The following is a 14,076-nucleotide window of genomic DNA, read 5'->3' as shown; positions in this document are numbered from 1 at the left end:
CCCAGAAAAGCGGGACTTGCCGCTAAGAGTGAATGACCAAGGCAGGCATCCCTTCGTGGTCTGACACCTCTGAAACCTGGGTGAATAATCAGAGAGGCGTCCCTGCAATGATTAAACACCAAGGGAAGGCTGCCTTCCTTAGTCCATGACCGGCGCCAGAGTTTTGGGTCCACAGATAAAACACGTCTCCTTTGTCTCTACCAGAAAATGAAAGGAATTGAAATTAAGAGAAGGGAGAGATTGAAGAGTGGAAAGGAGAAAGTGGTTGAGGGACAGTGAGAGAGGTTGGAGAAGAGAGTAAGAAGAGGCCGCTTACCCGATTTAAAATTGGTGAGATGTTCCTTGGGCTGGTGGGTCTGAGGACCTGAGGTCGTAGGTGGATCTTTTTTACGGAGCAAAGAGCAGAAGGACAGGGGATGGATCTCCCAAGGGAGGTCCCCTGATCTGAGTCACGGCACCAAATTTCATGTGCGTCCATGTGAAGAGACCACCAAACAGGCTTTGTGTGAGCAACATGGCTGTTTATTTCACCTGGGTGCAGGCGGGCTGAGTCCGAAAAGAGAGTCAGCCCATGTTTCTTATCTTTAGGATACATTATGTTTCTGGGATATTTGGGGTTTATGGTTTTCATGAAGCTTAGAAAGCTTTCATCCAGTATGTTTTAAATATTTTTCTATCCCTCTTACCCACTCCATTCCCTTCAGGGATTCCATTTACCCCTACAGTAGGGTATTTAAAGATTTCCCACTGATGGGCTTTTTATTTTTTAAATTCATTTTTCTCTGTGTGTTTCATTTGTGTTAGTTTCTACTGCTATTTCTTCTAGTTCATTAATATTTTCTTCTGCAATGTTCAATTCAGTGCATTTTAAAAATTTCAGACTGTAAACCACAGTTTGCACTTATGAAGTTTGATATTTAAAAATATCTCCAACATCTTCACTTAAATAAAATTATAACTGCTCTAATGTCCTTGTCTTCTATTTTTAATGTGTGTCATTTTCAACTGAATTATTACATTCTTCATTATGTTTCATGTTTTCCTTCCTTTTTGCCTGTTTGAGATTCTGGGATTTGATGCCAGACATTTGATGTTGATGCCCAAATGTGCCCAGTGACACAACTTGGCCTCAGTTTCTATGCATACCCAAGCTTGTTCAGCAGGAGTGGTAGAGACACTATGACAAATGAAGTGTCCTCTGGAGATTTCTGGTGAAGAGAATGAATGGAGTAACTGGCAGAAATTAGAGGTCCTGATAGAACAAAATAGAATCCCAGAATGAGAACACACACCATGCATGTCACTGAAAGCAAGACAATGTTTCCTAAAATCTCAAGAAAAAATCATTTTTGGTAAGTACCTTATATCAAGTGAGGTGTCCATGTACCAAGGCAGTGGGAAAAGTTTATTAAGGATGCAAAAGTCAGTGAGACCTGATTCTCTCATGGAGACATTGTTAAGGATGAATGATACTCAGTAAGTGATGCCTAGGACATGCACTTTTGAATAGCTCATGAGCATCAATGTATTTAATTGCAGATCTAAACCAAAAACCAAGGTGGGGACAAGGTGGGAGACATAGGCTGTCCCTGGTATATGTTTGGGTTGAAATAACACTATCAGAAATGGCAGGTAAAGAGGTCAGAGAAGACAAAAATAATTTCTTTGATTGTTACAGTGGTAAAAATTTGAAGTTGACAGATATAATTTAAAATTTATAAACCAAATATTAGAAATGTGTCAGGTTAAAAGGGGACTACTGATGTCAAAACCTTTTTAGTGCAATGTTAAACAGGATCTATACAACCCTTCCTAAATAACAAACAAAAGGCACACACACACATGCACACACACACAAACAAAACAAATAACATTGACAAAGAAATACAGTAAATACAATCTACTACATATGGTAAATAAGACTAAAATATGGAATACTTTAGAATATAAACAGGTAAATAAGAATGTTTTTATTAATCTATATTCTTATCCATGAAAACCAATAATAAAATAAAAGCTTAAAACATTGTATGTGAAAAATTCACTAGTCCAGGGTGATAGGCAAAAAAATTTAATTAAAGTGATTTAAAACTTTAACATTTTAACTTTAATGGACTAAAATTAATTTTGGATGAAAGTCAAACTTTGGGCAGGGAATGTTCCTTTTTACGACAGAATGCCAGCAAAAACAAGTACATAGTAAAATTTTGAGAAGACAATTTCCAATGTAAAAACATAAATATAATAACTGACACAGGCAGGGGTGATTAATTGATGATAAAATACTCAGAAGAAGATTGTTAGAATACAGGATATTTATACTATTTCAAACCACTTTCCAATTTAATTATAAATAAGGTGTCTTTACAAGGGACAGAGCTCCTAGACCCCTCCTTGACCAAGTGAACATCCTAGTATCACCGCACTGGGGATGGACACACTGGGCCTTCTCTGCCTGCAGATGGGCTGAGGTAGGAAGCTCACAGCATGGACTCTGCAGAGTTCCTGGCAAAATGTTTAGGCTGAATTTAATCATGACGACATTTTCAGATAACTTCAGAATGTAGACCATTGAGCCAGAGAGCTGACCCGTCCTCCACAAACAAGTCCATGTCACCACCATCGATGACAACAACAAAAAGATAAGGAGATGTTTTGGGTTCAAAATGACTAAAAAAGCATAAGCTGCATAGGCTTTTTACTCTTTTTGAACTCAAAATGTCTCTTCTCCTTTTTGTTGTTTTCTTGGTGGTGACATGGACTGTTTGAAGGAGACATGTCAGTTGTCCTGTTCAATGTTCTACATTCTGCAGTTATCTGAGGGTTACCTCCTATGAAACTCAGGCTAAACGTTTTCAGCAAGAACATGGCATTGCTCATACTCTGCCCTGGCAGAGTCCCGGCTGACATGCTGTCTCCTGCCAGCAGCTGCGGACTCCTGTTCTCTACATGATGGGAATTGAGAAACAGGGCTAACGCCAGTCAATGCTATTTGTCCATCTGGGCATTGGTCTCCCTAGGTGTTGATCACAATTGGAGGGGGATGGAATGTGGCTTCTCAAATCAAAGGAGCATAGTGGCTTGAAGTCATCAAGAGTATTCTGTGTCTGAAATTCAATCCTCAGTGAAGGACCCCTGCAGTATTGTGTTTGGACTTAAACTTGCTTTGCTGTTTTAGTTGTTTTTATCAAGTGGAAAAGCTGCTTTTTGTGACATTCTTTCATCCTATCATCCTTTGCATCCTTTCAGCAGTATTTGGTATCTGTAGGGGAGAGAGAGAAAAAAAATCAAATGAGCATTTTTGTCAGGTCCACCTGATGGCTGAGTCTGGAGGGATTGCTAAGCAGTGATATCTCACTGGGATCTCCTGCTGGGAGGATGAGCTGGAGGGTGAGTCCTGGGCTGTCAGAAGGGGGAAGCACCATCCACAAGTGAGAAGAAAACACTCCTGAACTTCCAGTCAGCCTGGGGTGCAGGATATAAGGACCCCACCTATGCCCAACCAGCAGTGGGCAACATCATCCCCTTTCCTCCTGATCCCCTCTGTCTGGAGCAGAGTGAGGGCTTTTCCTCCCAGTGAGCATGTACTCAGCATCAATCATGCATGCCAAGAAACAGAGGGGAGCAGAAGGACAGGAGCCTCTGCAGAGAAACCCACCCCCTTACAACTCCATGTCCTAGTCTTCTAGGGAGGAGCGGGAGGGCCATGGGAAGAACCCTGGATATGAGAAGCAGCAGAAACCTCAGACAACATCCACGTCCAGGTCCACATTTTACAACAGAGGAGTAGTGATGCCACAGGGGTAAGATGGAACTAAGGCCACATGACTTGCTATTGACAACCCAGGAATTAGAATCCACCCACTAAGGCCTTTCAATAAAGATTGGAGAAAGCGAGAGGAAAGGCTCCAATCTGGAGGTCTCAACAGTCATGAGTGGTGGTTGGGTCACCTTGGCTAGGACAGGAATAAGGTTTTACAGATAAATATGATGGTGCTGCTGTTTCTTTGGTTGGTTAAAAAAATAAAAAATATATATAATTATAAGTTTTTGTCCAAAGGTCATCAGGAAAGAAAGGGAGTTTAAAAAAAGAGACTCAAAATGGAGTTAGCAAAGTGAGAAAAGGGACTGTAACCATGGCCCAACTTATTTTCCCTAATGCCCTGAAGTTGATTCCACATCCGGTTCCACCTTAAGGCATTTCTAGAAATATTCTCAATATCTAGACCAAGAAAACTCTGAAGTACAAAGTGAAAAGGATTAGTTTGTGTTTTACTACAGTCTCCCGTCCCGCTTATTGTTTTCCCCAAGTACATTATGAGAAAGGTTTCTTTTTAATATTTTATGCCAGTGTGAAGAGAGGCATGAAGAAGTATTCATATACAATCTCTTGCAGCATTTCAGTCTTAATTTGTTATTGTATGCTCTTCAGGACAGGGGGACCAATGAGTTCTCTTTGGGGATTTTGCAGAAGGACAATAATTGACCAAAAGTAAAATTTTCACATTGCAGTGGTGAGACCATTGGTGGGCTATAAAATGGGTGTGGGGAAATGTAAACTGGAAGTTTTATTTTAAAATGCAAAAGAAAATACTAAATTCCACTATATGTAATATGGCAGGTATTATTTCCGTACATTAGGTGTTAATATCATGACTATTTCTTACTTATCTTGTATTCAAAATTCAGCAAGTGTGCTTCAAGCAGAGGCTAAAAGTCTAATCTATTAATTTTCTTGTTTTTCTTCTTGATTTTTTTCTATGCTATACGAAGAGTACTATTGAGAGGGGAATACAGATCCCATCAAAGTCTGATAGAGGCTCAGCCTTTTCTGTGGAGTAGCCACACATATGTGGCACTTCCATGTTGGTAACCTGAGGTCATAGTAGACCAGGGGTCCTTCTCATCTTTAGCCACATATTAGAATCACATGGGAGCATTTTGAAACTACAGATGCTCAGACCACACCCCAGGCCATGTAAGTGAGCATCTCTAAGTGTAAGTTGAAGGCATTCATCTTAATTGAAATCTCACCGGGTGCTTATTACATGGCAGCAGGATTTAGAGATACTAAATGGACCAGCCCAATTTCCCATCATTTTCTTTCCTTTCCCCGTTTATCTCATGACTGGCTTTGTTCCCAGTGGTTCCATGGATTTTAGCCTTCTCTCTGACAATTTCAGTTAAATCTCTGTCTTATCAATTGGGCTGCACCGAAGCAAAGACTGTCCTGTAGACAGATTCCTGTCATCTAGTGTATGCATAAAGCTGGTCCTGGAGTCACTTTTCTCAAAGTTAATTCATAAAATGCTCTCTCATATACAATGGCCTCAAGATTCATCTGACTTGCATTTCAGACCCTTAACTGGACTTGAAAAGTGGAAATGAGAATAAAAAGGAGAGAGGTTAGAATGACGTACCTCATGATGTATGCAGTTTTCAAGTCCTGCCCTCTGCATGTACTTTTGGAGTGATGTCCCTTTAGAATGTCATAAATGTTCCCCAGTTAACATCAGCTCAAGTGAGTCCATGAGGTGAGAACACTGAGACCCTGGCAACTCCATCCACGTTGGCACTAAGCTGCACATCTGGGGCTAAAGACAAACCTGACTCCAGGCCAGTAGGGAACTCCCACCTGTGACCCTGGTTCTAGTTTAGTTTCCTAGGGGGGCTCTTAGTGCTTAGTTTTAACACTTCTCATTCAGAGGAACAAGTGATGATTAAGAGTTGAATTAGTTGTGTTGCTCAAAAGAAGACTCAAGAGGAAAATCTTCGTGTAAATGACGTATTAAAGCAATGATTTCTACACAAAGAGGCAATGGAGTTGGGGATGCAGCAAGGAAAGGTAAATTTCCCAAAGGAGTGTGTGATTCCGGGCAAACAACCCTGTGTTCAGCAGCTTAAACTATGTACTTGGATGGGGACAAGGAGGCCTGGCTCTCCTGTGGCCATGAGAGGGACTCTCAAGACAGTAGAAAAAGGAATAGAGCAGAGTTCAGAGAGTAAAGAGAAGATGGGTAGAGAAGGGGCCAGTCAGGGTGGGAGCCCATGGGACACAGAGCTAAGACCAGACAGAGGTTAGAGCAGCTGTTGGAGAGAACAAATGGGAGAGAAAAAGCAGTGAGAGAATGAGCTGTCACCATAGACAGAGAAATAAGAAGTGAGTGCAGCTATCAGCCATAGATGTGATTACCTCTGCACTCTCAGCATGCGGGCCAGCGAATCTGAATGCCAGTCTCCACTTGCTGAACGGGAGTCTTCTTCTGATGGTCTTCAGTATCAGGACAAGGGAGGCACGAATCCGGCCAGTGACTTGACGCCCTTGTGTGTTGCTTGCTGAGCCTTCAAGTGCATCATCTTCCAGCTGGGGAGGGTTCTTCATCCCCAGAGAGGGCTCTAAAACCAGCTCTGAAAAGAAAACCACAGCCAATGGGATCCGCTGCCATCCATGATCTTACCGTAACTTTCTCTTCCACCCAGAGGACATCAAATCAGGAAAGAGCCTTGGACAAGAAAGTCCAAAGGGCGAGGGGAAGCCGATAGAGTCACTTTAATACTTTCTTTTTTGTTGATCTTTCCTACATTACTCAGTAATGACAAGATTGCCAGGATCCAAAGGCACTGCCAAGTCACAAAAATATTCCAGAAACATAGGATTCAGAAACACAAATAGCTTCCAGGTAGATAAGGCAAAGGCAAGGAAATAACACTGTATGTAGGCTATGCTTTGGGGAGAGAAGAGATTACAAAAATCAAAGTTAAATAAGAACTGGGTTCAAACAGGAGATGGGAATGGAAGGGCCTGGCAGGGTGGCAGCCCATGTGGCACAGAGGTGAGACCAGACATAGGTGACAGCAACTGATGAGAGGAAAGAACCAGGAAGACTAAACCTAGAGAATTTACAAAAGTTGCATCATTATATGATCTACTGCATATATATATACACCCTATATAGCATACACACCAGATATACATAGTCACACGTAATAGGACAAATGATACAAATGCATGTATCTGTACACATTAATTTAAAGAAAAAAAATATAGGGATTTGGGAGGGATTGAATGTAAGAGTAGAGTCACTATTCTGGTCCATCGAAATTGGAAAAATAATTGGAGACATGAGAAGAATGAGAAAGAATAGGTATGGGAGAAACAAATGACCTGGTAGACAGCAGGGAGAAATCACCAGGTGAAGGAAAGTGTTAATGAAACGAAAGGCGTTCACTCTGTCCTCTTACCTGGAGCCTGGTTCAGGCTCTGGACTCCAGGGAAAGTGAGCAAGAGGGAGTGTGTCTGAGCCAGTGGGGTGAGTCTTGGCTGGGGGTGTGAGAATCCACAGAGAAGCAAAAGAGAGTTCAGTGCTAAGAAATCAGTCTAAATAAGTTATCATGGCACGTGTCAGGGACTGCACATCCCCCGACACTCCCGGAGCACCTTCCATGTGTCCTCTCCACTGGCCCAGATGGTGCTCATTATCTCACGCAACCCTCCCTCCCCCTGAGGACAGGGGTTCCCTCATTCCTCAGCTGAGGGCATCGCCTGACAGATGAGCACCAGGCAGCCCCAGGGGCTCCAGGAGGAGATATTGAGTGGGATGGAGAGTGAGAATGAACACGACCCAGGATTTTAAGGTAATCTGAGCAGAAATGGATCCCTGTGAGACAGAAACCGAGGACATGGCCACGGACATGAGTGGAGAATGTGAACTAAATGGAATTTCATAAAAGAGACTGATGTGAACACTTTCCATGTGAAAGTTGCCCTTTTATTTCAAAAAAAAGCAGAAAAAACAGCAGAAGCAGCTGGACATGTCAGGAGACTGAGTGTGGGCCCAGGATTTACACTGTTACTCAATGTGCCTCATAGGTTGTTATTGAAAGTGCCTGACAGGGGAAAATTGGCTTCATGAGGGATGGAGAAGGAGAGGAAGAAAACTGGCAGAGGAGTCTGTGTGAGAAAGGAAAGGAAGAGGGGTCCTAGAAAGCAGAGATCTTCATAACTGCTCTACCTCAGAGGAGACATCGTCCGTGAAATCACTTGCTAAGTGTAAATTTAGCAGAAAGATAAAAGGATTAGATAACACCTACTCATAGGTTTATTGGGCAATTCTTATGGAATCAGGCCCTTTGGAAATTATGATTGCAGGTAGATGTTATTCTTCAGGTATCTTAGATGAGGGAACAGAGATATAAAGAGCAAAAAGACAAAAACCTTGGCCAAAGTCAACAAGCAGAAAGTGGCAAACCCAGGTCCTGAGAGCAGATTCGGTCCTAAGCTCCAGGCCTTTGCTCACCTCACTGGGTTGGAGCATCATGGATTTCAACTTGACCCTGAGGAAGCATGGGAGGCCCCATTCTCTCCTCCACCCACAGCACCGTCGTGACCACCAACACCTGGATTAGAGCTTCATGACGCCGTTTCCTTCCCTACCTTGGAAGGGCCATTGGTTCCCAGAATCAGCATTGGCTGAGAAGCTGCAGGTGGTGGAGGAAAGGCCCCGCTGGGCCAAGCCGTTCCCACAGTGGAACCCTTGATCCAGCTGTAGTCGCAGACAACTGGGCACCAGGGTGCTTGGTTCCAGCTGTGCCTGTGAAATTTGAACCTCTGACCGGTGGTGGCTCAAGTCTCCACTCCAAGTCCCTTGGGGACAGGCCGCCTCGGTGGGGGCTGAAAGGAGAAGGGGCTTCAGTAGGAACAATCTCAGTTTTCCCTTTGTTAAGTCATCCCAGAACACCCATCCCTGATGTCCCTGCTCTCAGTAAAGCCACCCAGTGACCCACGCCACACAGACAGACATCATGTAAATGCAGGTGACGTCACCTCTCCTGCCTGTGCCTGGGGACGCTGACACGGTAGGGGCCCAGGCTGGGGTGTCCCTGAGGTGAAAAACCTCTGCTTCAGCCCAGAGGGCTTTGGATTGTCTAACAAGACCATCCCGATTATTCTGTTACTATTCATCTCTTTCCTGTGCCCAGAGGGAAAGTTCTAGAGAGGCATCAGAGCACAGGAGAGGAATGGTTATTTTTCTCCACACACAGGGGTGTAAGAACGGGTCAAGGGTTAGAGCTGCGAGGCTTTGAGAAAGAACCACGAAAAAGGGGGCTGGGATGCTACAGACCAAACGCTAAGTGAGGCAAACTTTTCTGGGTTCGGGGACATTTTGAATTTCCCATTGACTATAATGGTTTGACCCCCTACCCACACATATCCATCCTCTTGCCATATAGTGGGTGTCAGCAGACATAGGCAATGTAGGAGAGGGACCAGTCCCTTCCTGCAAATTCAGGGGCCACAAGTGCTACAGATCAGCATGTGCGGTTCCTTAGGAAGGCAACACAGGACACGATCCTCACATTACCCACTCCTCCAGTGGGGTTCGGGTGGCACCCCTTAAACAAATTGTTTCCATTTCCACAGGGAGAGGAATACACGTTCTGAGTGGACTAAGAAAAGACTTCCAATGACCTCACGCCAGTCCAGGTCGGTCTCAAGATGGGGACGGGGCCTGCAGACTGGATCCACGTTGCTGTGGGGCTCCTCTCTCTCCTCCCCTCTCCACATCTTCATTCTCTCCAAGGTTTTCTAAGTTTTCTTAAAAATGCCTCATTGTTCTCAGCTCCAACATGGAGATGCCACTGCCCACTTGGGCGTGTCCCTTGATCCCTGAATGGTTTATAGCAGGACAGAGCTTGCTTGCAAAGGGGCAGGGCATACAGCAGGTGCAAGGTCAGTGTGTATTCTAATTGTTTCATGAATCACTGTGATGCTAGAAAAGCATTTGCTTTTTTGAAACTCAGGGAGAAATGCAAAATGGGAAAGGGGCTGGTCCCAGTATGAAAGGCACTTGCAAGGTCAGTGTGTATCCTAATTGTTTCATGAATCACTGTGATGCTAGAAAAGCATTTGCTTTTTTGAAACTCAGGGAGAAATGCAAAATGGGAAAGGGGCTGGTCCCAGTATGAAAGGCACTTACCAAAATAGAATAGAGGCCAACATTTTTGTTGCTAGTTTCTTTCTTTGTGTGTGTGTGACACAGGGTCTCACTTTGTTGCTCAGGCTGGAGTGCAGTGGTGCAATCATGGCTCACTGCAGCCTCAACTAACCAGGCTCAGGTGATCCTTCCACCTCAGCCTCCCAAAAAGCTGGGACTACAGGTGTGTACCCCCATACTCTGCTAATTTTTTTTTACAGATACGGTTTCACCATGTTACCCACACTGGTCTCAAACTCCTGAGCTCATGCGATCCACCTCCTTAGCCTCCCAAAGTGCTGGAATTACAGGCATGAATCAACACACCTGGCATTTTTGCTAATCTCGTTACAACATAATCCAATATACTGGGGGACATCACAGAGTTCCTTGCTCTTACTAGAAGATAATGTAATGGGTAAAACCCCCAACAATCCACATGAAATTCCCAGAATTGAAGTAAAAAAAAAAGAGAATGAGCAAGAAGAAATGAAAATTGGATTTTCTTTTTACACATCCTGTGAAGCTGCTATCTCAAGGGGCGATTGCTCAGAGGAAGGGTTTTCTGGACCTCATGGGGACAGGAACCACTCTGCTTTGCTCATCGGTTAGGCCAGAGCCTCATGAGGGACACTAGTTGTCGATGGTTTTCATGAGAATAGAGCACTGAGACCAAAACTTGATTGACACTACAAACCCACACATGGAGAAAACCACTGGAGCTCTGCAGAGGATGCAAGCCCGGCCACACATAAAGGAAGGGTCGCTGGACTGCGTCAGTGGAGGGAAGACACCTCAGAGGAAGTAGAGCCGCAGTCCCAAATCTTTTTGGCACCCGGGACTGGTTTCATGGAAGACCATTTTTCAGGCACCAGGTTGGGGGGGATGGTTTTGGGATGATTCAAGCACATTCCATTTACTGTGCACTTCATTTCTATAAACATTATATTGGAATATATAATGAAATAATTATACAACTCACCATAATGCAGAATCAGTGGGAGCCCTAAGATTGTTTTCTTGCAACTAGATGGTCTCACCTGGGGGTGACAGTTACTGGGAGACAGTGACAGATCATCAGGCATTAGATTCTCGTAAGGAAAACACAATCTAGATTGCTGGCATGCACAATTCACAATAGAGTTCGAGCTCCTGTGAGAATCTAATGCCACTGCTGATCTGACAGGAGGTGGGATCCAGGCTGAAATGCTCTCCCACCGCTCACCTCCTGCTCTGCGGCCCAGTTCCTAACAGGTCATGGACCCATAATGGCCCATGGCCCCAGGGCTGGGGATCCCTGAAGAAGAGAATCTAGCTTGGGACACAGGAATCATGAAACAGGCCTCCAAATAATTGGGCAAAACTCCCAACATATGTGGATGGCCAGAGAAGAGATAAAGACATGGAATTAGCAAGATAATTTCAGAAAAGAGAGATGCCCTATCTTAAAGAAGGAGGGCTGTTACATAAATTTCTCCAGCTGAGCTACTGTGGCCAGGAATTTGCCATAAGCCCTCACCACTCCCTTCTCTGGCCTGTTTTGATAGCCAAAGCCTGCTCCTGTGAGAAGGAGCCAGGTGACAGAGGAGGCACTTGGAACAGGAGAAGAGGAAGTTCTACCCAGTGGATGTCTGTGCTTAAAACTGGATCCAAGAGCCAGATTCAAAACAAGCTCAGTGTATAGAGCCTGCTGCAGAGATGGTCTGTCTCAGCTGCACAAGTTGCAGGAAACAAAACATACAGAGGCTGCCTGGGAGGACAGTGGAGCTTTGTGATCTCCAGGGTGAAGTACTCACAGGCTACATCCAGAGCAGAGCAGGCAAGCTGATCCTCCAATGAGGACAAGGTGCTGCTATAAGGCTGGTGGCAGTCAGACACGTCATGGTGAACTGAGGGAGTCAAGTAAACTTCATTCACAGAGTCCTCTGGGACTTCCTGCTCCTTCACCTCTGGCAGCTCCTGGCTGAGCCTGGGGTAAAGAAGACAGAAGATAAACACCAGAGAGAACCAACACCCAGCTGGTTCTATAGGGAGGCCCTTAGGAAGGCCCAGAGGAAGCAAAGTACATTCCCCTGAGAGAGATACAACCATCCTTCCCTGTCTCGAGTAGGAGACAGAGCACGACAGGCTCTCAGTGCACTGGGCAGGCAATGAGCTGGGGAGGAAGCAGATGGAGTGATCCCTGCGGGGAACTGCCAGGACACAGTGCATTCGGCACTTTTGCATCCATTTTGTTGAAATTAGCGTCAGTGGCCAAATGAATACAGGCTCTTGAGTCTTCACAGAGTTCCTGTATCCTCAACAGCTCTTGTTCTCAACATTGTAGCATGGCATGATTTATTTTCATTCACTTCCCTGCTATCGAATACTTGCAAACATGGTAATGCCAAAGAGGCAGACATCAGATGTGCAACTCAACTTCACTTTAAGCAAAAAGGACAGAAAAGGGGACTGCAGAAAATGTCTGTGAGTGATCAGTTCAACAGAGTCAACTGAATGCAGATTAGACGAATTGAAAGGAATTAATAAGGAGGAACTAGAAATACAGGTGTACAATGAAAAGAGTCAACCTTATGAATATGGCATTTCATGGTTGGCTGAACAGATGGAACAGGTATATTCAGCACACTCTGATTTTCCCTGCATCTGAGACTCCAGATATCAACACTGAATTAACTGTTCAGGATTCCTCAGAGTTACCTGGGGCATGGTGGGCTTTGGTCTTCTATCTCCTCTTGATCCTTTTTAATTTCTGTAAATAAATTCACAAAGGGACAGACAGATTAAGCAGGTTCTCCTACACACATAAACAATCCACTGTGCAATCCTAACATAGAAATGTCAGTTTCCTCAGTGGGAGAACAGGACACTGTGAGAGAAATATTCCAGGAGGCCTGAGGTCCTGTCATGAGAGAGATGCCTTGGTTTTCTTCCCTGGGCCTAGGAATGCAATCTCCCTGTTCTGGTAGATCATTATCCCAACATCATCTGTCCTGATTTTGTGCAAACAGTTATGCAAATTTTTCACACCAGTTGAAGGCAAATACCCCAGCTGCTTTCTAGAAGGAAAACTGCAATATTCAGCTTTCAATCATCAAATACTCACGTTGTTCATGGTTACAAGGATTTTAGACACTGAAACTAGAATGTAGGAGGGAATCTACAGACCCTTGAATGAAAATGAATCTTTGGTTCAATACAAAGAGACATTGGCTATTCGTGACATCTAGGAGTGACAAGGCCCAATCTTGTTTCTAGAAACATAACAAAAGGTAATGGACTGCTCAGCTAAAACAGGATAACATCAAAGACATACAGAATGAGGCTAGGTTCTTTGAAACCTGGGTAATATCTTTAATGAAAAGTAGACAAAAATGCCACAGGCGTTGGGCAGGCATAGAATCTCACAGGACATGGTTGGGGAAAGGAACTTGTAAGGAACACGATAGCTGGCAAGACAAATCTTATTCAGATTAAGAGGCCTGACAGACACCTGTTGGGCACGTGCTGCATAGGTTGGTGTGAATTTGTCAATGTCGTGACAGTGGGCGCAGGGTGACACAGGCATGGTCTGAGATGAGGAAGAGAGCAAAGCTCACTGACCCACCCCTGTCTGTGCTTCCAACTTGATTTTTGATGCTGATGCAAATCATCCTGTGTCTGTGAGTCACGCCCACACCAATGACACATCTCAGTCCAGCCAGGGATGTGAAGTGCAAGGATTACGGAGTCTACCTGGGACACCAATTGGAGATTTATCATGTTCACAATGGAGTACTCACTGTCTACAAGAGCCAAGCTGACTTGCTTGTCTTCAAAAGAGTACAAAGTGCTCCAATAAGGGTGGTAGGAGGGAGTCAGGTCAGGAAGGATGGAAGGAGTCAAGCAACATCCATCCAGTGACTCCTGGGGGATTTCATGCTTGTCCACTCTCAGCGGTCCCCTGCTGAGCCTGTAGGGTAAGAAGGACTAAAGATTAATCCAAGGAGTTTCAGAGCCCTAGCTGGATTTCACGTGAGGCATGAGGGAGTGATCGCAGAAAACAAATGGGTCAACCCATTAAACAGTTAAATATTCTCCTCTTCTTGGTGGGCACAGTGTG

At 44.4% G+C, this 14,076-nt stretch overlaps 1 protein-coding gene across 8 annotated transcripts in view; it reads right to left on the bottom strand.

Annotated features, from left to right (window-relative positions):
• Positions 1–1,938: 1,938 nt before the first annotated feature.
• Positions 1,939–14,076, bottom strand: part of NBPF6 (NBPF member 6) — a 50,430-nt gene continuing 38,292 nt past the window's right edge. For all 8 annotated transcript variants that reach the window (XM_047428683.1, XM_011542012.3, XM_047428685.1 and 5 more), the window contains 6 exons: positions 13,757–13,926; positions 12,675–12,726; positions 11,771–11,943; positions 8,435–8,671; positions 6,194–6,408; positions 1,939–3,262 (listed from right to left, as the gene is read on the bottom strand). In XM_047428683.1, the coding sequence (XP_047284639.1) occupies positions 3,221–3,262; positions 6,194–6,408; positions 8,435–8,671; positions 11,771–11,943; positions 12,675–12,726; positions 13,757–13,926 (889 nt within the window). In that variant the 3' untranslated portion in view covers positions 1,939–3,220. The remainder of the gene's footprint in view (positions 3,263–6,193; positions 6,409–8,434; positions 8,672–11,770; positions 11,944–12,674; positions 12,727–13,756; positions 13,927–14,076) is intronic.

The sequence above is a fragment of the Homo sapiens genome, chromosome 1 (assembly GCF_000001405.40).
Source record: "Homo sapiens chromosome 1, GRCh38.p14 Primary Assembly".
Lineage (NCBI taxonomy): Eukaryota > Metazoa > Chordata > Mammalia > Primates > Hominidae > Homo > Homo sapiens.
This window is presented reverse-complemented; position numbering and strand designations above follow the sequence as displayed.